Source organism: Homo sapiens, chromosome 3 (genome assembly GCF_000001405.40).
Source record: "Homo sapiens chromosome 3, GRCh38.p14 Primary Assembly".
NCBI lineage: Eukaryota > Metazoa > Chordata > Mammalia > Primates > Hominidae > Homo > Homo sapiens.
In genome coordinates, this window is record NC_000003.12 from 186,545,670 (window position 1) to 186,570,679 (window position 25,010).

At 40.6% G+C, this 25,010-nt stretch overlaps 1 protein-coding gene across 3 annotated transcripts, besides 3 other annotated features; it reads right to left on the bottom strand.

The window, feature by feature from the left end:
• Positions 398–24,874, bottom strand: TBCCD1 (TBCC domain containing 1). 3 transcript variants are annotated; one of them, NM_001134415.1, is made up of 8 exons: positions 24,438–24,874; positions 18,325–18,703; positions 12,748–12,903; positions 10,740–11,106; positions 9,229–9,415; positions 8,585–9,082; positions 5,460–5,610; positions 398–1,286 (listed from the first exon to the last, which is right to left on the bottom strand). In NM_001134415.1, exons 2-7 carry the CDS (start codon positions 18,658–18,660, stop codon positions 5,481–5,483), a joined length of 1,674 nt encoding a protein of 557 aa, NP_001127887.1. In that variant the 5' UTR covers positions 18,661–18,703; positions 24,438–24,874; the 3' UTR covers positions 398–1,286; positions 5,460–5,480. The 3 variants fall into 3 exon arrangements, with proteins under 3 accessions (NP_001127887.1, NP_060608.1, NP_001273678.1); NM_018138.5 differs by lacking the exon at positions 24,438–24,874 and adding an exon at positions 21,598–21,670; NM_001286749.2 differs by lacking the exon at positions 18,325–18,703 and having other exon boundaries at positions 24,438–24,649.
• Positions 6,542–7,741: an enhancer, noted in NCBI's record as "BRD4-independent group 4 enhancer chr3:186270000-186271199 (GRCh37/hg19 assembly coordinates)". NCBI's record gives its function as "activates an origin of replication core promoter dependent on BRD2, P300/CBP, MED14 and CDK7 cofactors, and independent of BRD4, by STARR-seq in HCT116 cells {active_cell/tissue: HCT116}" and the evidence as "EXISTENCE:reporter gene assay evidence [ECO:0000049][PMID:35650434]".
• Positions 7,031–7,325: a silencer, noted in NCBI's record as "tiled region #2674; K562 Repressive non-DNase unmatched - State 15:Elon". NCBI's record gives its function as "represses a minimal TATA promoter and a strong SV40 promoter by Sharpr-MPRA in K562 cells {active_cell/tissue: K562}" and the evidence as "EXISTENCE:reporter gene assay evidence [ECO:0000049][PMID:27701403]".
• Positions 21,574–21,863: a silencer, noted in NCBI's record as "silent region_14986". NCBI's record gives its function as "represses an Ori minimal core promoter by ATAC-STARR-seq in GM12878 lymphoblastoid cells {active_cell/tissue: GM12878}" and the evidence as "EXISTENCE:reporter gene assay evidence [ECO:0000049][PMID:35858748]".

A 25,010-nucleotide genomic window follows, 5' to 3' on the forward strand; every position in this document is an offset into this window, starting at 1 on the left:
TACCATTTATTTCATTAACAAATAGCAATATCTAAAATATATTTCTATTACTCCAGTGTTTATTTGGTAATGGTCTGCTCCTTGAATTTCATCTTAAAATAAAAACCATGTAAACTTCAATTAGAATTAAACATTCTGAGGGTTAATTTTTACTTTAGAAATACAAAAGAGTTTTTTGATAGAAATACTAATTAAATGGCCAGAGAGCATATGAACCAATGTTTATCAGCAATCTGATTCATTTCACTCATTTGGTAATTTGGTAATTTCACTCATTTATCTGAAAGAAGGTTTTCCCAAGTAAATGTAAACTTTACTAGTTATTTTGAGAAATGACACTGGAAACCTTTTCTAAAATTAAAACTAAAGATTTATCTTTTACAAAAAAAGGAAATTATTCTTTAGAGTTTGTTTATTGAAAATTTGAAGCAGGAAGTGAAAAATAAAGATTTTTTTAAACAATTTCATTAAGTTCCATACTTTAAGGACTAAAATATAGTATAAAACTATTTCTATGTCTATATACCAACAAATCATACTTCCTTTCCAATTATTTTTTAAAAGGAGTAGCAATTTCCTTTTAAATAGTTACAAAGAACTATAAAACTCTTATTTAACTCTAGAAAGAATAAAACTCTTTCATCACACAAATGAAGATACACACTATAGTTGCAAATCTACACTCAGTTGCTTTAATATTAACATACATACAATGGTACTACCTTCACCAACTTTTTCATTTGGGCATCACAAAGACGAGTCTTCTGATGTTCTATAAGCAATATGTTTATATGAAAGTCAGAAGTTTAGCGAAAATTCGGCCTAAACAGTAATAAATGAAAATGGAATGGAAATCAAAGTTCTTAAATAGAACAGAAGGCTGGGCACGGTGGCTCACGCCTGTAATCCCAGCACTTTGGGAGGCCGAGATGGGCGGATCACGAGGTCAGGAAATCGAGACCATCCTGACTAACACGGTGAAACCCCGTCTCTACTAAAAATACAAAAAAAATTGGCCGGGCGTGGTGGCGGGCGCCTGTAGTCCCAGCTACTCAGGAGGCTGAGGCAGGAGAATGGCGTGAACCCGGGAGGCAGAGCTTGCAGTGAGCCGAGATCGCGCCACTGCACTCCAGCCTGGGCGACAGAACAAGACTCTGCCTCAAAAAAAAAAAAAAAAAAAGACAGAAAAGTCCCAATGTCTCTTAAGCAGCAATAGCACCTTCCCAATTTAGTTTCAAGTTTCAAGATGAGCACCATCCTCCATTTATCCTTGTATTTCCAGGGCCCTGAAGATCAAAGAAAAAATAATATTAATCACTTAATTTTCTATTGCTTCATGTAAATAATTTTAAAACTCTACGTTTAAAAAATCACATAAATTATCAAGGTCAAATGATAGATTAGAGTGATAAGATACACAAAGTTTAAAGTTAATAATATTCCTTTTTGCTAGGTGTAATGTTAGATCATAATAAAAGAGAAATTCATACATGAATGTAAAAAATTGTTAAGCAGTGAAGATTAAACAAAATTATTTACCCGCTTATAGTTCACATTTCCTTTGCATAATCTCCATCAGATTTGTAATTTTTTTTTTTTTTTTTAAGAGATAGGGTCTCGCTCTGTTGCCCAGGCTGGAATACAGCAGTGCAATCATAGCTCACTGCAGCCTTGAACTTCTGGGCTCAAGAGATCCTCCAGTCTGTGTCCAGAGTAGCTGGGATTACAGGCATGTGCCACCATGCTCAGCTAATTTTTAATTTTTTTGTAGAGACAGGGTCTCATTATATTGCCCAGGCTGGTCTCAAACTCCTGGCCTCAAGTGATCCTCTCACCTCAGCCTCCCAAAGTGCTGGGATTAGAGACATAGGCCACTGCGCTCAGCCAAATTGCTAATTCTTAATTCTCAGCATTTATTAATAAATATTGCTAAATTCTTTTTTTTTTTTTTTTTTAAGACGGAGTCTCGCTCTGTCGCCCAGGCTGGAGTGCAGTGGGGTGCTCTCGGCTCACTGCAAGCTTCGCCTCCAAGGTTCACGCCATTCTCCTGCCTCAGCCTCCTGAGTAGCTGGGACTACAGGCACCTGCCACCACGCCCGGCTAATTTTTTGTATTTTTTAGTAGAGACAGGGTTTCACTGTATTAGCCAGGATGGTCTTGATCTCCTGACCTCGTGATCCACCCGTCTCGGCCTCCCGAAGTGCTGGGATTACAGGCATGCTAAATTCTTTAAAAAAAAATACACCCTTAAGAAATGTAAATATTTAAAGCAAAAAATACACTTTTACAGCTTTGGAAAACTGCAATTCCTTTAAAAGTTAAATATATTCCTCACAATTCCGCTTCTAGGTATATATCCATGAGAAATAAAAACAAATGTCTACACAAAAACTTGTACACAAATGTACACAGCAGCATTACTCACAACAGCTGAAAAGTAGACACAAGCCAAATGTCCATCAACTGATCAACAGATAAACAAAATGGTAGATCCACACGATGGAATATTATCTGGCCATGAAAAAGAATGCAGTACTGATACATGGCTACATGGATGAATCTTGAAAACACTACACTAACTGAAAGAACCCAGACACAAGAAGCCACATGTTATATGATTCCATTTACATAAAATGTCCAAAATGGACAAAGTAGATTAGTGGTGCCAAGGACTAAGGGGAAGAGGAAATGTAGGGGTTGGAGGAATAAGGAGTGGCCTACAATGTGTACGAGCTTTATTTTGAAGGTGATGAAAATGTTCTAGATTTTTTAGTGGTGATAGTTGCACAAACTTCTGAATATACTTAAAAGCTACTGAATTCTTTACTTTAAAAAGGTGAATTTACTTCCCATAATGTTATGTGGTAATATTTTATCTCAATAAAATTTTTAAGAAGTTTTCTCCCACCCTAGACACCCAATCTCATTCCTCAAAGACAAACACTGTTTATAATTTCTTTATATTCTTTCAAAGATTGTTAGGCATATAATTAGCATATAAATACACTGCATTTGGGGTGTTTCTAGTCCACAGTTTTTTTAAACAATGCCACATCAAACATCTTCAGTTACAAAATTTCGGTTAGCTAAGAGGAATACATTGAAGAGATCTAATGTACAACATGGTGACTGTTGTTAATAACAATACTGTGTGATCTTGAAAAAAACAAAGAGAGTAGATTTTAAGTGTTCTCACTGCAAAAATGACAACTATGTGAGGTTCTAATGTTAACTAGCTTGATTTGGCCATTCCACATGCATATATATTTCAAAACATCATGCTGGAAATGATAAATATATACAATTCATCTGTCAATTTAAAAATTAAATAAATAGGCCAGAAGCAGTCGCTCATGCCTGTAATCCCAGCACTTTGGGAGGCCAAGGTGGGCAGATCACCTGAGGTCAGGAGTTCAAGACCAGCCTGGGCCATCATGGTGAAACCTCGTCTCTACTAAAAATACAAAAATTAGCCGGGTGCGGTGGCCGGTTCCTGTAATCTCAGCTACTCAGGAGGCTGAGACAGGAGAATCACTTGAACCTGGGAAGTGACGGTTGCAGTGAGCCGAGACCGCACCACTGCACTCCAGTTTGGGGGACAGAGTGAGACTCCATCTCAAAAATAAATAAATAAATTAATTAATTAATTAATTGATCCCTACATACATGAGTTTATCTGTAAGATAAATTCTATTAATAATAAGTGAAACTGCTAAATCAGGGCAGGTGCAGTAGCTCATGCCTGTAATCCCAGCACTTTGGGAGGCCGAGGCAGGAGGAACGCTTTAAGCCAGGAGTTTAAGACCAGCCTGGACAACAAAGTGAGACCCTGTCTCTAAAGAAAAATAAAAAGATCAATTGGGTGTGATAGCATGCACCTGCAGTCCCAGCTGAGACAGGATTGCTTGAGCGCAGGAGTTGGAGGCTGCAGTGAGCTATGATTGTGCCACTGCACTTTAGCCTGTAAGAGAATTAGACCTCATCTCTAGAAAAAGAAAAAAGAAATCGCTGAGTCAGAGAAAATTTGTATTTTTAATTTTGATTTTGTCAAACTGCCCCCCACAGAGGTTACATATACACTTTCCTAGTGGTAAACGAAATGTTTTGCCAGTATTGTGTACTACCAGCTTTTGCTCTTTGCCAGTCTAATAAAAAATAGTATTTTACATTTCTTTAATTTTAAGTAAGCATTTTTGTGTCTCTAAGTATTTTTCTGTGAACTATCTATTATTGTCCTTTGTCTGTTTTCTATTGCTAGCATTTAAAAATACTTTAGGCCAGTTCCGGTGGCTCACGTCTGTAATCCCAACACTTTGGGAAGCCGAGGTGGGCGATGTTCAGGAGTTTAGGAGTTCAAGATCAGCCCAGCCAACATGGTGAAACTAAGTCTCTACTAAACATACAAAAATTAGCTGGGCACGGTGGTGCGTGCCTGTAATCTCAGCTACTTGGTAGGCTGAGGCAGGAGAATTGCTTGAACCGGGGGAGCGGAGCTTGCAGTGAACTGAGATTGTGCCACTGCAACTCCAGCCTAGGTGACAGAGGGAGACTCTGCCTCAAAAAAAAAAAAAAAAAAAACTTTAAACTAACACAGTATACTAATCTCTATTAAAAAAGAATACCATACGTTTGGGGCTGGGCGCAGTGGTTTATGCCTGTACTCCCATCACTTTGGGAAGCCAAGGCAAGTGGATCACCTGAGGTCAGGAGTTTTGAGACCAGCCTGGCCAACATGGTGAAACCCAGCCTCTACTACAAATACAAAAATTAGCCAGCTGTGGTGGTGCATGCCTGTTTTCCCAGCTACTCCGGAGACTGAGGTGCGAGAATCACTTGAACCCAGGAGGCGGAAGCTGCAGTGAGCTGAGATGGCGCCACTGCACTCCAGCCTGGGCGAGAGACAGAGACTCAGTCTCAAAAAAAAAAAAAAGAATACCATATGTCTGGATTAAATTTACTTCCAGTAAATTTGTTTGTATGCATATTCTCTTCTATTTAATCCATGATCTTCTAGTGTTCAGTAATCAAATCTTCATTTGGATTAATTCTGGTAATTTATTACTGCTAATATGTGTAATTAGCAAAGATCAGCTAATTTGTAAATTGGTTTTTGTGAGGGGAATGGATAAGAGGAAAGGTTTAGAAAAGGAGAATAAAACTTAGAACTATGTATGGGGGAATGTGGTATCTTTGGACAGTACAACTTGTCCCAGGCAAAAAGCAAAATAAGACAAAATTTGGCCATTATATTGGCCCCAAATTCTATAGGCTCCATCTGAATATTTTGGTTGGTTTTCTCACTATAAAATATGGTAAATATGGGTACATAAAGGTCCGTGTATGCTGGTAGGAGCGGTAGAAAAAATTTGGGCATGTTTAGTATATAATATTCTGTGCCTTTTTTTTATGCTTGAAAGATTTCCCCAAAAGAATCTGTTTTAAGTGGTATAAATGCCTACCAGTGTCTGCATGTAAGATCCTTATCCAGCTGCTTGTTTGGAGCCTGCTGCAGGGGGTACAAGGCTGTCCAGCTGTTGGCGATGTCCTGTATTAATCAACCATTCATAAAACTTGTTCTCTACCAGTACCTGGAACTGCTTCCTTTGATCCCTAAAATTGCGATTATGAGTAAAAAGAATATAAGAACATGAATTCATATAAATTGTACTCTAAGCAATTATACAATATTTTAATAGGATAATGTTAAATGATTAATTATTTCTTGTTATCCTTTTGTTCTCACTGTTCAGAGTACACTGGACACCCCCACCCCACAAAGGATTGATCAGATACAATGTCCTCTTTCTACTTTTTCATTGTCAGATATTTACCAAGGACCAAGTGAACACTGGGTACTGTTCTGACTGATGGGGATAAATGTATAGAGAAGAGACAAGGCCCCTGTTGAAGCAGGATGACACTTCACGACTCCAGAGGGCACCATTCACATTGTGATCTGTGTAATCCATGCTCCTGAAGACTATATATTCTAGTAGGAAAGATAGGTAAAAATAAAATAAATAGGCCGGGCATGGTGACTAACGCCTGTAATCCCAGCACTTTGGGAGGCCAACGCGGGTGGATCGCTTGAGGCCAGGAGTTCAAGACCAGCCTGGCTAACATGGTGAAACCCTGTCTCTACAAAAAATATAAAAATTAGCCAGGCATGGTAGCACATGTTTGTTAAGTCCCAGCTACTCGGGAGGCTGAGGCAGGAAAATCGCTTGAACCCAGGAGGTGGAGGCTGCAGTAAGCTAAGATCACACCACTGCACTCCAGCCTGGGCAACAAAGCGAGATGCTGTCTCAAAATAAATACAGTACAATACAATACAATACAATAAAAATATAATATAAAGTTAAGTAGTTCTAGGTGCCATGGAGAAAAATAGAGCAGGGTGAAGGAATAGCAATTCTGGAAATGTTATTTCAGAGAAAGAATGGAGAGAGATGGCCTCCCTAAGATAATATTTGAGCTTAGGTCTAAATGAAATGATGGAATAAGCAGAATGAGTATTTGGAGAGGAATATACCAGGCAGAAGAGACCAAAAAAGTACAAAGGTTCCAAAGTGAGAGCGTATTTCACATGTTCATGATAAGAAAGAGAAGAGTAGCTCCTGACAGCCAGGAGCTAGCCTAGCACTGTCAGCTAGGCCTTGGTGTAGGATCTGGACTTGCTATTGTATTCTTTTGTTGAACATAAACAATACCTTAAACCACCACCATTAGACAAAGCCACTCTGGGATGATGATAGACCAAAGAAAGAACAAGATCACTCCGTAATCGTATCTCAGTTCAGAAACCCCCACACCAACCTCCAAAAAAATGTTGTGACCCAAACCATAAAATCACTAAACATTCCTTTCCTGGAGGAGTGGCTACTTCTTTACAATTATAGTTTTAGCTCTTCCTTCCTTCCTCCTGCCTTAGATATAAAAGTTATTAAACTGTCAAATCACACATTACTCTCACTTCCAGATAGTCCTGCTTCCTAGAACTCTCCCCCAAATCATTAACACAAGCCAAAATCCAACGATAAGTTCCTTTTAACACCTGTTTACTGAGTTGAAACACAGTTTTCCATGTTCCCCAACCTTTTACTGAGATGAAACACACTTCTCTCCCTCCTTGCCATGAGTCAACACAATCCACCTTTGTTCTATAGATGTGTTCCTGGTGGTCTTTGGTCAGAGGGCAGTGATTAAGTAATAGTAAGATGACTGCTGTATGCCGGGAAGGAGGAAATGAGGAAAAGAACGGCAGAAATTGAGGAAGAGAGAGCCTGGTAAGTATGGTAAAGGCTTTGGATTTTATTTGAAGTATGATGGGAGGCCATTAGAGGGGTCAGAGCAGGGAAATGACATGATGTAATCACTGTTAAAAGGGTCACACTGGCAATTTGTTTCAAACTGATTTCTGTCTTCCTATATTCCCAAAGTTAAACTGACTACTTTCATTGTTTCTGGGATCACTGTGGATCTCACCACTTGAAAACACTGACTCAGAGTCAGCATTTATTAAGTGCTTACATCCCACAGTCTGCACATGTATATGCAGGAGCTTTTCACATGTAAGAGAATCTAAGCACTTCATCGTTTCTTGGCCTTTTGGCTGAGATCAAGTGTAGAGAATCTAACCATTTAAATACTAGAACCATTCAAACAACAGAACTGCTTTAAAAGAATGTTTTTTCATGATCATCCATTTTTACAACACATTATTATAATGTTATTATTGTACAGTATGATATGGTATGACAATATTTGAAAGAAAACAATGAAGACATTAGAGGCATTTAAGAACCTCTGGTTACTGAGAAGTCAGAACAGAGAAAAAAAAAGAACCTCTGGAACCAGGTTGATTAGGTGTGAATCCTGGCTCCTGTGTGACTTTGGGTAAAGTACTTAATTCCTCAGTTCTTCGGTTTCCTCACCTGTAATAAGGTGTTATTACAAAGAATAAATGAGTTAGCACATAGAAGGTGCCTAGAATGGTATTGGATTATGTGGCATACTCTATGTATGATTTTTTAAATTCATGTAAGTCTTATATTTGCCAACTAAACTTTAGCTTCTTAAGAAAAGGGAGTCTAATACTGGATATTTACCCACTCCCATCCCCAACCTAACAGTGTTTGAAATACTAATTTGAAATCCAAACCTTAATTTAAAAACACATTACTTTTTTTTTTTTTGAGACACAGTTTCACTCTTGTTGCCCAGGCCGGAGTGCAATGGCACGATCTTGGCTCACTGCAACCTCCGCCTCCTGGGTTCAAGCAATTCTCCTGCCTCAGCCTCCCACGTAGATGGAATTACAGGCACACGCCACCACACCCAGCTAATTTTTGTATTTTTAGTAGAGACGGGGTTTCACCATGTTGGCTAGGCTGGTCTCAAACTCCTGACCTCAGGTGATCCACCCACCTCGGCCTCCCAAAGTGCTGGGATTATAGGCGTGAGCCACCGCGCCCAGCCTTACATTTTTTATTACTTTAGCACAGCTGTAAAAATGTGCAGACTAATTTGTTTCTCCATGGAGTTTCACAAAAAACACAAACTGTTACTTGTAAAAAATACTCACTTTGTCAAATGAGCCTCCTTCACAGTTTTCTGCCAGATCTGTATCTTCTGTTCTCTTTGACCCAGTGCTTTCTGATATACAGATGGAAGACCCCCGGGTATCTCTGTTGTGTCCCCTTCCATTTCAAAGGGAATAATAAATACATAGAATTCACAAGGTGGTAAAAGCTGGAAGACTCTTGTGTCGCTGTTCTCTCTGCACACAACCATTGGATTATCCCAATAGTTAGGCACTGTAGCAAGGCCAGTCCTGGCCATATGGTCCTCTAGCATTGGGTAATGTGTATGAAAAGGGGCAAAAGTTACTGTCTGGTTCCCAGAGAGAATAAGTGGGCGTGTAGGCGTAAGAACGTGAAAGATGCAACCTGTTGTAGAAGAGATGGACAAACGATGGCAAACAGCAATGACTTTAACATTGTCACAACTGTGGAGGTGAAGTGTAGTCCCTACAGGGCCCAAGACAAAGATGCTATTCCTGCACTTCTCAATTGTCACAGATCTGAAAAAAGGAAAAAATGAGGTAAAGTCCTCTGAATAAGATTTTAAAAATTTGACTAAAATATTATTATCTGATGGCAAAAAAAGAATCAGTCACAGTCCAAAGAAAATGTCAGAACATCAGAACACCATGAAAACTGTGCTTACCGTAAGGGAGAGAGCAGATATATAAAAGATTCGTTGCAACGATGAATCTTTACATGTGCCCCCGCCAGAGTGTCTGAGCTCTTAGCCAGTGTCTGCTTGTAAACCTGGCTCATCACTACCAGTCGGTGCATCCTAGGGGCCACATGAGTATTACAAGCAATCTTAGCTCTTTTGGTGGTCCCTTCAACTATTTAAGAAAACATATAAATAGATGAGGCAGTATCAAATCAAAGAAAAACAAACAAACATATGAGGTTACACGTCTACATGTATATATGTCTCAAATTAGATACCACATGTAGGGACAAAAACGTTAGATCTGGGCTTTGGATAGAGGTATTTGCTATACTATTCTCTATTCCTTTCTGTATGTTTGGAATTTTCATTTTTGTTATAAAAAAAATTTTAAAACCTATAATGAATTTAAGATTGCCTATAAGTCTAAGATACTTTTTCGTGTCTACGCTTCAAGTTAAGGTCTATGCCTAAGGTCATATGGCTAGTAAGTGGCAAAGCTGTCCTAACTCAAATATCTTCTCCTCCAAGATGCTTTACTTTATCATCCCAAACGTAATTCACCTCTCTAAATTACCATAATATTAATTCTGTACCCTTCCTAACTTACCACATTATCCCATTAATCCTATTTGAGTTCATGCCTTTTTTTCTTCTTTTTTGTGAGACGGAGTCTCACTCTGTCACTCAGGCTGGAGTGCAGTGGTGCAATCTCAGTTCACTGTAACCTCCACCTCCCAGGTTCAAGAGATTCTCCTGCCTCAGCGTCCTGAGGAGCTGAGATTACCAGTGCATGCCACCACGCCTGGCTAATTTTTGTATTTTTAGTAGAGCTGAGGTTTCTCCATGTTGGCCAGGCTGGTCTCGAACTCCTCACCTTCCGCCAACCTCAGCCTCCCAAATTGCTGGGATTACAGGTGTGAGCCACCGCACCCAGCCTGAGTTCATGTCTTTACTCCTAAGATCATTACTACCTGAGAGCACATCTTCCTATCCCACACAGTGTGTTGCACAAACTGACACTCAAAAAATACGCGCAGGTTCTCCTAACACAGTCACACCGTTACGTGACTGCCTTCTCAGACTGTACCTCCCTGCAAGCCACCGGGACACCCTTGTAAACAACACCGCTGAAATACTGGGAGGTCACATGAGTATGCTATTATTCTTCTTCTTTTAAAACATTTCTTGTTTATTTTTATTACATACGTTTACTTTTATTACACATGTACCAGGTACATAATATATGGTTATTTAGAAAAATAACAGTAAAAGAAGATAAAAATAATTTGTAATCCTACTATCATTTTTAATATTTTAGTATAATCCTTGAGAGAAAAAGTCATGCACAAAAGACAGATGTTCCTTTTTCTCTTTTATAGGAGCAGTATTTTTTAGGTCTTCTAGAGAAGACACGAGATCACTAATATATTAGAAAACACTAGGTTCCTTAAGTTGTCATTCAATTTAATGTAGATTAAAATATTAAAAAATACCTTGATGAGCCCAAGCCAATTTCTTTCCAGACTTGAGGCAAGCTGATGTACCAAATGGATTCCCAGTCAAACAGGACCTCAACCAGGTTTCCAGTTTGTAGAAAGAGAAAGTCTTAGAGATCTTTGAGAAGCCACTATCTGCATGCAGTGGTTGCCACAGTGCAAGTTCATGAAGTGGATAGATCTTCCTGGCTCTACTTATTGTACCTTCAATAAGGAAGCTGAGCGCCACAACAGCTTCTCGAGACACTAGACTACTATGGGTTGAATGAAATGATGCAGTGAGTTGTTTTGGATCTAAAAGCAGCTCGAGGAGATCAGACAGATGATCATAGACAAAAGCTTGGTGACTGTAATCATTCCAGTTCTAAAAAAAAGTTAAAAGAAAGCACTCTTAATAAAGAGATTCCACAAGATCTAAAATTTCTATATTTTAATTATTTTGTATTTATACTCTGCCTCATCCCCCAAAAGGAATTAGGTAGTTATATAAACCTTATAAAGGTGATCCGCCCGGCTTGGCCTCAGAATTTCTAATCCCTTAGAATTCCAGTTCATTAACAAGCATGATGGCTATTCCAGTCCCAATGTCAAATGCGTTTTTAGTTCAAACACCTATCACCAATGCATAATTTCTTCCTGGGGGAACTGACTGGCCCAGGTCGTCACTTTAAATCTGGCCAATTTCAAATGTATAGCAATAAATGGGCTACTCAAGTGTCCACCCCGGTCCAATCAGTTACTCAGAGAGGTCGTGCTGTAGTATAAACCAAAGTCACCATTTATTGGTGCTTACTATGCAATAAGTCCCATGCTAATATATTACTGAAGTCTCATAGTCATTCAGAAACATGCATTATTATCCTCACTTACAGAAGGGAAGCCAAGGCCTAGAGAAGTTAACTGACTTGCCTAAAATCGTATGACTAAATGATAATAAATGATAGAGGCAGAAATGAATGGAGGCTACCTTGGCTCAAAACACCATCTCCTAACAGTGCCCATTCTGCAGGAACTACATGTGGAGAGAGAGGTAGTGACTGGTATCTCTCATACATCTGGGCTTGAACATTCTGAATTTAAGCTATAGCTAGGGCATCTATATAAAGCGGTAACTATAAAGCAAGAGCTCTGGGAAGGACACAAAGTTGGGAGTCACTGAGATATATGAAGTCGTAGGAATATAAAGAATTACATTGAATGAATAAGTTAAGAGAGAAGGGAAAATTGACCCAGACAGAATAGCTGCTTGTAAGGGCCAGGGGAGAGAAATTTATGAAAGAAAGTGAGAAGAGAGAGTTAGAAGCAAAACCAAGAGTAATAGCATCATGGAATATAAAGGAGGAGAGACTTATTAAAAAGGAGATTAGAAAAGTTCCAAATAGCAAAGAGATATTTTTTCTTAGCTTTAGAACATTTTTAAAGAGCTTGTACATGGCATTAATACTGAGGCCTACATTTTACTTAAAGTTTTTCAATATACTTACACAAGAACAAGTAAAAATATTTTGGTTTTCTTTACAAAAACAGAAAGAAAAAAGCAATAAGACATCCTCTAAAATTCACAATGTGAGGCAGTTAAATTTAGCTTCTGGGTTGTCACGTATGTAATTACTTAAACAACATGAGAAGATATTTTTATAATTTTTTTCAGTAGATTTCAAAAGATTTTGCAAGCACTCCATCTTCTTGATGCTCCTTAGTCACATAAGTTGATTCGCATTGATTGACATGTTGAAAACGGCAGTGCTAATTGAACATAGTGATGATCTGCCCACAAATCAGCAAGTGGTTTTCCTACCAGTGAAGGCACTGCAACCAGTTCTCTATTGTGATTAAGACTGTACACACTGATTTTGTTTTATAATTTAAAAAAAAAGTGAAAAACAAAACAAGCCATCAAATCACTGGCTTATGTAAGAAATCTCATCATAATTTTTAATGCAAGTGAACCATCTCCCACACAAATTGTCCCTTTTAGAGAATGAGATCAAGATATAAGGAGTACCTTATTATGACAATTAGATTTTTCAGTCAGGTCAGGAGACTGAGATTTGTTTCTGGGACTGGGCCACTCTTCGCCAATCAAAGATGTCCTTAGGGAGACCTTGTTCAACTGTTGAATGTATAAGAAGAGCAGAAACTGTAGCGTGTCCACTGAAAGCTGTCCAAGAAGAAAATAAAAGATGAATAGACGTTTTAAAACATCAACCACTAGTCTAACAACTAAGTAGACATAGTAAATTCACAAGTTGGCTGATCCTAAAAAAACCAACTTAGAAACATTGCCAGTTTTGATATGTATGTCTCTGGTACCCAGATGTAAGAGTTTCTTTTTCTTTTTTTTTTGAGACAGAGTTTCACTCTTGTCGCCCAGGCTGGAGTGCAATGATGCGATCTCAGCTCACTGCAACCTCCGCCTTCCTGGTTCAAGCGAGATTCTCCTGCCTCTGCCTCCTGAGTAGCTGGGATTACAAGCATGTGCCACCACGCCCAACTAATTTTTTTGTATTTTTAGTAGAGATAGGGTTTCACCATGTTGGCCAGGCTGGTCTTGAACTCCTGACCTCAGGTGATCTGCCCGCCTTGGCTTCCCAAAGTGCTGGGATTACAGGCGTGAACCCCTGTGCCTGGCCAAGAGTTCCTAAAACTAATTAAAGTGGAATAATTTACCTTCACAGAAAGCTGTATAACATCTATGGCTATAGAAATTATCTCTCAAAACTGATGAAAGGATGTAGTACATACTTTAAGTACATTATTTCAGAAGTTTAAACTTACAATTTAAAAAAAACCAACCTTAGTAATTTGAATAAATAAGTAGATGGAAGTAAGAAAGAAGAAAATTCAGTTAAGACAGAGGTCTAACTTAAGACTCACAAACCTGTCAAGAAAGTTTAGGATACCAGTGCAATACCTGAAATTGTATGTAATTTTTTGGTATATGTGCATTTTTCAAGGGAGTAGGCCTCAGGTTTTCAGCAAATTCTTAAAGGGGTGTTTCACTTAAAGACAAAAACACTGTTGGTCTGATAGATGTATAGTCATTTCTTATTCAAGGAAGGGTGTGGTTGAAGCTCACGACTTGAAGCCCCTGATTACCCTCATCTACCCACCCCCATACAGGAGAGGCAAAAAAGTAAAGTAATACATCTGGGTCTACAGCTATATTCACCCTGATTCCCAACCTGGCTAAAAACACTATCATCTGAGAAACTTAAAAGTACAGATTCTCAGGATCACCCAGACCTATTTAATCAACTAACAATGTGAAGCCCCATGAATTTGTATATTTTATAAATTTTTACTTTCTTAATTGAACTTCTGAGATAACTGTAGATTGAGATATAGTTGTGAGAATTCACACAGAAAGATCCCATGTACCCTTTACCCGCCTTGCCAAACTATAGGACAATATCACAATCAGGATATTGACACCGATACAGTCAAGATACGAGAACATTTCCATCAACAGAACAATCTCTCATGTTGCCCTTCTACAGCCATATGCACTTCTCTGTCCCACTCACCCCTTCTTAGGCCCTTAGCAACCACTTACTTGTTCTCCATCTCTATAATTTTATTATTTCAAGAACATTAGGTAAATAGAATCATATAGTATGTAACCTCTTGGGATTGGCTTTTTTCACTAAGTGTAATTCCCTGATTTTATATATACTTCCATTTTAAACAATTATTTGTTACATTATCATTATTTCTTCATGGAGACTATAGGATCCTTGCCTTTTCCATTTTTATACTCCTAGTAACTAGCAAAGCATCTGGTACATAAAAAGCACTCAAAAAATCTGGAACTTCCTGAAGGTTTTATTCATCTCTATATGCCCAGCATCCACTACTATACCGAGTACATAGTAGATAATAAATATTTGATTAATGAATAAATGTACTGCCCTTTCCCTCTTCATTGCTTGATAAACTTTTCAATTTCCAAAACGTTGTTTAGATATGACCCTATAAGGCAGAGACTGCTAGATGCTTACTACTTTTTTTCTTCTTCCTGGGTATGTAATTAGATGGCATTTCCCATCTTCCTTTGGAGTTAGATATGGCATAAATGAATTACAGCAACTGAATGTGAATGAATTTATCTTTATCACTTTCAAGCCTAATAATAAAACTCTCAAAAGAAATGAAAGCAAAAGGACTCTGAGGCCCCAGTGGGCATGGCTGTGGCAAATTGTATTATTATTTACTATTGCTCACTTTCAAATTCTCTAAGAGGCTTATACAGCCCTACCCATGGCCATGGGATTTTCCTTATCTCCTGAAAGGTGGTTTACCTTCCCATCTTCATGGGAATAATGCCTTAGCCAATGGAATAAAAGTAGTCTTAGTTTATGTCAAATCTGAGCAAAAGTTTTAAGAGGCATCATGAGTCCAGAAACAAACTCACACATATATGGTCAACTAATTTTCCACAAGGGTGTCAAGAATACAAAACGCAGAATAGTCTCTTCAATAAATGATGCTGAGAAAACTGGATCTACAAATGCAAAAGAATGAAATTGGGACCATAGCTTATACCATACACAATCAACTCAAAATGGAGGAAAGACTTAAATGTAAGGGGTGAAATGGTAAAACTCCTAGAGAAAAATAAGGAAAAAGCTCCTTGACATTGGTCTTGGTAATGATTGTTTGGATATGACACCAAAAGCACAGGCAACCAATGCAAAAATAAGTTGAATTATATCAAACTAAAAAGCTTCTGCACAACTAAGGAAACAATCAACAGAAGAAAAGGTAAACCATGTATCTGGTAAGGGGTTAATATCGAAAATATATAATGAACTCCTGCAGCTCAATAGCAAGAAAAACCAAATAACCTAATTAAAAAATGGACTATGGACCTGAATAGACATTTCTCCAATGAAGACATACAAATGGCCAACAGGTATACGAAAAGGTGCTCAACATCACTACTCATTAGAGAAATATAAAGCAAAACCACAATGAGATATCACCTCACACTTGTTAACAAAAGATTAACAAGTATTAGTAAGGATGTGAAGAAAAGGGAACCCTGGTACACTGTCAGTGAGAATGTAAACTGGTACAGCCATTATAAAAAATAGGGCCGGGCGCGGTGGCTCACGCCTGTAATCCCAGCACTTTGGGAGGCCGAGGCAGGCGGATCATGAGGTCAGGAGATTGAGACCATCCTGGCTAACATGGTGAACCCCATCTCTATTAAAAAATACACAAAACTAGCCGGGCATGGTGGTGGGTGCCTGTAGTCCCAGCTACTCAGGAGGCTGAGGCAGGAGAATGGTGTGAACCTGGGAGGTGGAGCTTGCAATGAGCTGAGATCGCGCCACCGCGCTCCAGCCTGGGCGACAGAGCGAGACTCCGTCTCAAAAAAAAAATAAATAAATAGTATAGTGGTTTCTCAAAAAATAAAAAAGAGAACTACCATACGATCTAGCAATCCCACTTCTGGGTATTTATCCAAAGGAATTGAAATCAGGATCCTGCAAATACCTGCACTCCCATGTTCATTGCAGCATTATTGATAATGGCCAAGATATGGAAGCAGCCTAAATGTCCACAGATGGATGACTAGATAAAGAAAACTTGGCATGCATATATAATGGAGTACCATTTGGCCTTAAAAAAGAAAGAAATCATGTTGGGTACAGTGGCTTATGCCTGTAATCCCAACACTTTGGGAGGCTGAGGTGGGAGGATCACTTGAGGCCAAGAGTTCAAGACCAGCCTGGGCAACACAGTGAGATCCTGACCTCTATGAAAAAAATACAAAAATTTGCCAGGCATGATAGCACACACCTGTAGTCCTAACCACTCAGGAGGCTGAGGTGGAAGGATTGCTTGTGCCCAGAAATTCCAGGCTATAGTGAGCTATGATTACATCCCTGTACTCCAGCTTGGGCAACAGAGTGAGATCCTGTCTCTTAAAAACAGAAAGAGAGAGAAATCCTGCCATTTTCAACAACATGGATGGACCTGGAGGACATTATGCTAAGTAAAACACGCCAGACACAGAAAGACAAAGCTATGTAATCTCACTTATATGTGGAATCTAAAATAGTCAAACTCATAAAAACAGACAGAAGGGTGACTGACAAGGGCTAGGAGGAGGGGGAAATGGGGAGGTTGATGGTCAAAGGCTACAAAGTTTCCGTTATGCAAGAAAATTAAGTTCTGAAGATCTACTCTACAGCATACCGCCTAGAGATAACAATTACATGTTGTATACTTAAAATTCTCTAAGACAGTAGATCTTATGTTAAGTGTTCTTAACAGATACACACACAAAATAACAAGCATAAAAGAGGAGGGGGAACCTATGGGGGGTGATGGGTATGTCTATGTCCTTGACGGTCATGATGGTTTCACAGCATATACTTATCCCCAAACTGATTGAGCTGTATACATAAAATAAGAATTTAAAAAGAGACATCATGAGTTTCCTCCATTCTGTTGATCTTCCCTTCTGTTATAAGAATGGGAATGATCTACACAGAAGCTATTTCTTTAGCCTGTGTCCCTAAATGGGGAAACACGGAGCCTGGACAAATGCCATAGCAAAAATGAAGCCCACATGTAAAATGGGCAAGAAATAAACCTTTTCCCCTGTAAGCCACTGGAATTTCATTTGTTTGTTCTTAATGAATGAAATCAGCTTTTAACAAAGCTGATTAACAGTGACTCCAAGTGATAGAAGCATGGATCCCTGGTCATCGCTTGGATGACAGCAGCCCAGAGATTTGTCCAACCAGGAGCAACTGTGTTAGATTGCTGCCTGAATGAGAAATAAACTGTTACTGTTCTAAGCCACTGAAATACTGGGTTGTCTATTACTATAATCAGCCTACTTGATTAATATACTTTCTCTGTGAAGTCTTTCCTTATCACTGAAATAAATCATTCTTTATTCAATTTCTGTACTTTGTGTATTCTTTTATTATACATATCACACTATTAAATAGCATCTTTTTTTAATACCAGCTTCCTCTACTAGTCCATAAGCTCCATGAGGGTTGAGATGCTATCCTAATCATCTTTGAATCCCATCATGTAGCAGATGTTCATTTTAAAATAGTCAGGTGCTCTGACTGTAACATATCAGTTGTTCATAACACTCATTCACCCCAAAATCTTTTTAAAGTCAGTAAAATATTTCCCTTTTTCAATAACAGGGTCTCTGTAACATTACTGCTTTGGGAGTAGGTGAGTAAGGTCTGGTAAGTAAGGACTAATTCATTGAATACATGAAATACTGCCAAACTGGAACTACTAAAACTCAAATGATAACTTGAGATTACAATGGCCATTAGCCTAAAACCTAAAATTTTACAGCTAATACAAAAATTAAGAATGGTTTATTGGGCCAGACATGGTGGCTCATGCCTGTAATCCTAACATTTTGGGAGGCCGAGGCAGGAAGACTGCTTGAAGCCGGGAGTTCAAGACCAGCCTGGGCAACAAAGTGAAACTCTGTTTCTATCTAAAAATTGTAATAAGCAAAAACATTTTTTAATTTAAAAAAGAATGGTTTCTTTCCAAAAGTAATTAAGTATACACACATATCAATCCGTACCTGATTTCTCTGCTTTTCAACTTCCTCCTCAGACATGCAGTTGGACAGAACCTCAGACCATTCCAGGCGCTCCTCAGGTGTCTTCATTGAAAGACTATCAAATATTTCGAAGTAAAGCCACGCCAGGTCCTTGGCCAACTGCAGCTTCCCACAAGCGATGTGCCTCCATGTAGACCAGTAGAGGCGCGGGTAAGCTCCTTCTGTGGCCCGGATTTGCACATAGGTGGATATCTTCCTGAGATAGTGAAGACTAAACTTGGATGGAGGGGGGACCTGCAAGGCACCCACTATAAAGGGTTCTGCTTTCACCCAGAGGAGAACTCTGGACTGATCCATATTATCTCTAAGGACATCAGGGTGAAAAGGCTTCTTTGCATACCTAGGAAACAAAGTTTCTTCATAAACTGATTTGAAACAAGTCTCATTTATGCATTTTTTCTTGGAAGGTGACCCCTCTCTCTCAACTGTGTCATATGTACTACATCATCATCTTAAAAGGCAGCTCTAGTTCACCAACCAAGAGCAGAACAGTTTTTTTAATCAGATCTCATTATAATCTGAGAAAAAAATTGTGATAAAACAAAATTATCTTACTTGAATTGTTAGAAATCCTTGTTTTAGGAAGTGTGTGTAGATGCATGAAGTCTGAGTGAGATCCCAGGAAGAAAATGAATGAGGGGAAAAAAGTCATCCTATCACAGGAAACCTTTTTCTACTCTGAGGGGGAACACTGTTCAAAATAAGGGAAATACATTTCACAGAGTTAAATCACTTACACAGAAGACAGTTGGTTAAAGATCTGGACATGTTAGCTGAGCATATAAATTCAATATGAAGTGCTAATGTGAGGCAGCAGGCAAGAATGCTAATGTAAATGTAGACTGCAAGAATAGATCAGGAGAAGTTACAGCATCTTTATTCTCTATAACAGTGAACCCACTCTAGCATATTTGATCCTGCTCAGTTCAGGTGTGATTTTTTAGATTTTTTTTTGTTGTAACAATGATACATGATTTTTATGGAATATTTATAAAATACAAAAACAGGGAACCATCCACAATCCCACAAGTAAAGGGCAACAAATTAATATTTTATTGTATTTCCTTCTTCTTCTTCTTTTTTTTTTTTTTTTTTTGAGATGGAGTTTCCCTCTGTTGCCCAGGCTAGAGTGCAGTGGCATGATCTCAGCTCACTGCAACCTCCACCTCCCAGGTTCAAGCGATTCTCATGCCTCAGCCTCCCCAGTAGCTGGGACTACAGGCGTCCACCACCACACCTGGCTAATTTTTGTATTTTTAGTAGAGATGGGGTTTAACTATGTTGGCCAGGCTGATCTCAAATTCCTGACCTCAAGTGATCCCTCGCCTCAGCTTCCCAAAGTGCTAGGATTACAGGCTTGAGCCACTATGCCTGGCCTCTTTGTCTTTTTTCTACACATAAATTAGATGTTAGTTTTTGAATTTTCACAGTTGTGATGTTACATACACAATTCTGTACTGTTTCAAAAGCTTTATAGTATTCTAAATAAATGTATCCCATTTTATTCAACTCTTCTCCCATTTTTAGACACCTTACTAGGTTTCAGATTTTTCACAAAAACAACATAGGCAAAATACTGATCATTATTGAAGTGGGGTAATGGGTACGTGGGGGGCTCACTGATTCTATTTTTGTGTATGTTAAAAAATTTCATTACAAAAGTTCAAATGTTGTCACAAGTGTAAATAATGCTATCACTACCATCTTTCTTCATATTTTCTGCATTACGAATTATTTCTGTGTGAAAATTTTCAGATGTACTTTTGTGAAATTAAGTAATTGACATTTCTAAAGCTTGTGAAATATATCCTTGTTGCTTCCAAATGATTTTATCAAATTGTACCATCCTTTGACTCTGGTACCTACTTCACTGTGCACTCCTCAACATTAGCAACATCATTTTTTTAAAAATATAAAAACTAATTTAAAAAATCAATTATATGACTGATGAAAATTTTATTGCTATTATTATATTTTGCATTTGATTCTAAGAAAACTGTGCTTCTCTCTTTTTTTTTTTTTTGAGACGGAGTCTCGCTCTGTTGCCCAGGCTGGAGTGCAATAGCTCGATCTCGGCTCATTGCAACCTCCACCTCCCAGGTTCAAACGATTCTCCTGCCTCAGCCTCTCAAGTAGCTGGGATTACAGGCTCCCGCCACCACGCCAGGCTAATTTTTGTATTTTTTTAGTACAGACAGGGTTTCACCATGTTGGCCAGGCTGGTCTTGAACTCCCTGACCTCAGGTGATCCGCCTGCCTTGGCCTTCCAAAGTGCTGGGATTACAGGCGTGACCCACCGCACCCGGCCTGCCAACTGTGCCTCTCTCGAGAATCATCTGTTCGGAAAAATAACTGACATCAATCGAGTGCTTACTATGTACCAGGTATCATGCTCATGATTTTGCATACTTCACCTCCTTTCATCCTCACAACCACCTGGAGATACAGTACTTAAGACTGTACACATTTTCGATGAAAAAAAAATGAGGCTTAGCGAAGTTAAGGGATTTCCCTAAGGACACCTACTTAGCTGGCACAGCTCTAGATTAGGATTCAGGTCTGACTTGAGAACTGCATTACTATAAATGTACTCTAGGAATCCAGTTTTGGGAGAATCTCTTAAAAACGGGAGTGGATCCAGAAGAGAATTTCCAGAATAAAGAGTCTTAGACAGGAAGCCAGGTGAAAGAACCAGGGAGAGTAAACTCAAAAGAAGGGCGTGGAAGGGCAAAAGGCAGCTGTCTTCCAATGTGGAGAGACTGGAGTCGTTTTGAGTAAAACCAGACGATAAAAGTTAGGCGAGGAAGACCTCGGTTCTCTCCAAAATGTAAAGAGGCTGCTCTGTGAGGTACTGAGCCCCTGTCAACAGCCAGATCCCAGAGATGAGCCCTCCATTCTAACTCCGAGAATCGAGAGGGCTCAATCCGTAAACAAACATAAACTGGGGCTCTGACCCTGGCGGTGCCCTGAGGTTAAGGTTTTTCAGGTCGGGAGATCGGCGTGGGTCCAAGGCGGCTGTCCTGGGGCTTCGCCGCCACCTTGGACGCGATCCGGGGTGGGACTCTGCGTGGGCCGCCCCAGCGTCGCGACCGGACTTCAGGAACACAGACGCTCACGCTGACAGGGTCGGTAGCTGACCCGAGACGCGGTAAGCGCGAAGGCAGCCTCCTCGACCCAAGCCTGAAGCCTGACTAACCCACACCGCCCTCCCCGGCGCACCCAGTGCGCGGTTACCTGCTAATGCAGGCGCCGCTCCGCCGCACTTCTCCGCGCGCCGCCGCGCCCGGCGTCCGCTCGCTGGGCCCGCCCCTCACCCTCCTCCGCGCGCCGCTGCCGTGCCCACTGCGCAAGCGCGAGGCCCCGCACCACCGAGACCTGGCGGACCCCGTTGCTAGAGCGGCAGATTGCGGCTCAAGCGTCTGAGAAAATCTAGGCTGGGGTCGAGAGTCCGCAACAGTGGCACCTGGAGCCAGACCCACCGCTTTCTGGTGTCGCGCCTTTCAACCCGGGGGGGTAGGAAGCTTTCTGTTGCTCCGCATAACTGTGGTCAGCTAATAGCTGCTGGTAAGATCAGCACGCTTTCATCAGAAATGCTACTAATACTAATGGCAGTTTGCATTTATAGAGCACTTACTATGGTCTCAGCACTGTGTAAAGCAACTTTATGTGTATTTCCTAAGTCTTGTCAAGAGCCCTTTAAGTACATTCGTTTTACTGATGAAGAAACTAGGGCCTAGAAAGGTGAAAATAACACAACCCTAAGGTCACACAAGAGATGGAGCCAAGATTCAAGCCCAGGGCGTCTGAAGCAAGACTGGCACTCCCTGCCGCCCCTCGGTGTCAGCTCCTTAACTCTGTTAGCTTTCCTGCCGTGTTTCCACCTTCATGAAGCTTTTTCAGATTACCGGGCAGAAGCCATCACTCCTTCCTTTAAACTTCCATTTCAGAATTTCTGGACATTTCCTGCTTTTTTTAGTTCCTTTATGGCCTCTCTAGGTGTGATAGATACAAAGGTAAATTAGACCGTAAAATGCAATTTAGTTCCTCTTTTGTGTGGCCATTGTCCCTACTGGGTATCTTCCTGAAAGCAGGGGCTTCAAATTTACACATACCTGGGTTAGGATCCAGGCTGCACCACTTATTAGCTCAGTGACCCTGCTGTTACTTGTTGAGTACCACTGTGTGTCTGGCACAGTGGTACGCACTAGAATGACAGAAGTGAACAAAACAGACAAGGTCCTTGCTTTCTTGGAGTGTATAACAGGGAGAATAGACAATACATATTAAGGAATAAAATAAGATAATTTCAAATAGTGAAAAATGCTATGAAAATTGGGGCGGGGGGTCAGGGAAGGCCACTTTGTGGTGCCAAATTTGAGCTGAGGCCTGAAGAGTAAGAAGCCAGCCATACAATGATCACCATCCCAGTAACTTTGACTCAAAAGTACTTCAGCACCTACTCCATGCCAGGCACTGTTCTAAGGTGCTCTTTTATACAGCTGTGAACAGAACAATATAGATTCATGCTCTCATGAAACTGGCATTTCAGTGTGTAAGTCTAGGGACCAGGGATGAAAAAAATAGGAGGCCGGGCGTGGTGGCTCATGCCTATAATCCCAGCAGTTTGGGAGGCTGAGGCGGGTGGATCACTTGAGGTCAGGAGTTCGAGACCAGCCTGGCCAACATGGTTAAACCCAGTCTCTACTAAAAATACAAAAAAATTAGACGGACATGGTGGTGTGCGCCTGTAGTCCCAGCTACTCGGGAGGCTGAGGCAGGAGAATCGCTTGAACCCAGGAGGCGGAGGTTGCAGTGAGCCAAGATCACGCTACTGCTCTCCAGCCTGGGCGACAGAGCGAGACTCTGTCTCAGGAAAAAAAAAGAAATAAAGAAAAGAAAACAGGGTGGTGTAAGAGTAAGGAACTCAGTAGGGGCTAATTTTGATTAATTGGTCAGGGAAAGTCCTCCCTGAGGTGGCGACCTTTAAGCTGATATATGAGTTAAAGAAGGAATCACCCATGCTAGCACATGAGGGAGAGTACAGTGTTTCAGGCAAAGGCAATAGCTAGCACAAAGGCCCTCGGCAGGAATGAGCTCGGTGTATACAAAAAAAAGAAAGGAAGCAAGTTTTGCTGGAGCATGGTTAGGAGTATAATAGGTTTACAAAGCATAAACGGCTTTGTAAACTAGCATGGAGTTGGGATTTTATTCTAAGTGCAAATGAAGAGCCATTCCAGGCTTTTAAACAGGGGAGTGACATGATTTGACTTTTATTTTTTATTTATTTATTTATTTATTTATTTTGAAACGGTGTGTCACTCTGTCGCCCAGGCTGGAGTGCAGTGGCAGGAACTCGGCTCACTGCAACCTCCACCTCCCAGGTTCAAGCAATTCTCCTGCCTCAGGCTCCCGAGCAGCTGGGGTTACAGGCGCTCGCCACCACACCTGGCTAATTTTTGTAGTTTTAGTAGAGACAGGGTTTCATCATGTTGGCCAGCCTGGTCTCAAGCTCCTGACCTCAGGTGCTCCGCCCGTCTCGGCCTCGCAAAGTGCTGATTACACTTTGGGTGGGTGAGCCACCGCGCCCGGGCTTTTTTTTTTTTTTTTTAAATCATGGAGTGAGGGACAGGGATGAGCAACATATATTAAGATATTAAGGAAGATATTAAGAGTGGGGGCAAGGAGGCCAGTTAGGAGGCCCTGGCCAGGTGAGAGATACACTGTGACCCAGAATCCTGGTAATGGAGATGTAGTGAACAGATTGAAGTATAGTTCAGAGGTAAAGAGTTGGATAGCTTATGCATGAAAGGAATAAAAACACCTAGAGCTTTGTCCTGATCAACTAGGTGTTGTGTAACTGCGATGAGCAAAATCGGGGGGAAGATGGGGAATCAAAGAGTTCTGCTTGAACCGTAATAATGGTTTTTACTCGTTGCCTGCTTACTATACGCCCGATGATTTACCGATTTTTTTCCCTGTTAAAATTCACAGAACTGCCAATAAGTGCTTTGCCTCAGTTTTGTTGATAAACTTAGGCTCAGACTTGGGAGGAGGGGAGGGGTGGGGGGTCTCACCACTAAGAAGCGGTGGAAGCCGAATCCGAACTTAAGTCGGTCTGTCATCACTGTAGCCTTTCCGAGACAGTTGTCTTATGGAGTTGCTTGGAGAACGTAAAATAAGAGGCCTAAGCAATGCGTCTGATGTACACCTGTCGTGGAATAACTGTTCCCGCTCATTCGGCCGCTGTACCTCTGCTCCCTCATTCGGAGCGTAGCTGGGTATGAATGAAATTCCGGGCTTGTAGCACAGAGAAAACTTCTCTCCCACAATTGGTTGGTGCTGGGGAGGAAGCTCCTGATTGGTGGAAAGTCCGAGGAAGTGGGCAAGCCGGAGGGATTTCGTGTACCTCAGGTGCCCTCACTCTGACCGGCCCCCTATCATTACGTAATTTTCTACGACTCGCGGTAGCTCAGGCAGAGCGGGTTCCTGCAGCGGCGCGACCCTCTGACGTCTCCGCTTCTAATTGGTCAAGAGCTGCGACTGCAGTTCTGAAGCCTAACTGGTTGCCCGTGCCGCCTCGGAGGTGAAGTGTACTGCGCTGATTGGCTTCCAGGCGCCGGCCGCGTGTGATGTCCCGGGCAACGATT

Bases quoted from the DNA above. Each gene is read 5' to 3' on its own strand.
- TBCCD1 (NM_001134415.1), bottom strand. From the start codon at position 18,660: ATGGATCAGTCCAGAGTTCTCCTCTGGGTGAAAGCAGAACCCTTTATA. The intron at 11,107-12,747 runs GTACTCCTTATA...ACTTTTTTTTAG, and splicing joins AATCTAATTGTCATAATAAG to AACTGGAATGATTACAGTCA. The intron at 9,416-10,739 runs GTATTTTTTAAT...TTTCTTAAATAG, and splicing joins ATTGGCTTGGGCTCATCAAG to TTGAAGGGACCACCAAAAGA.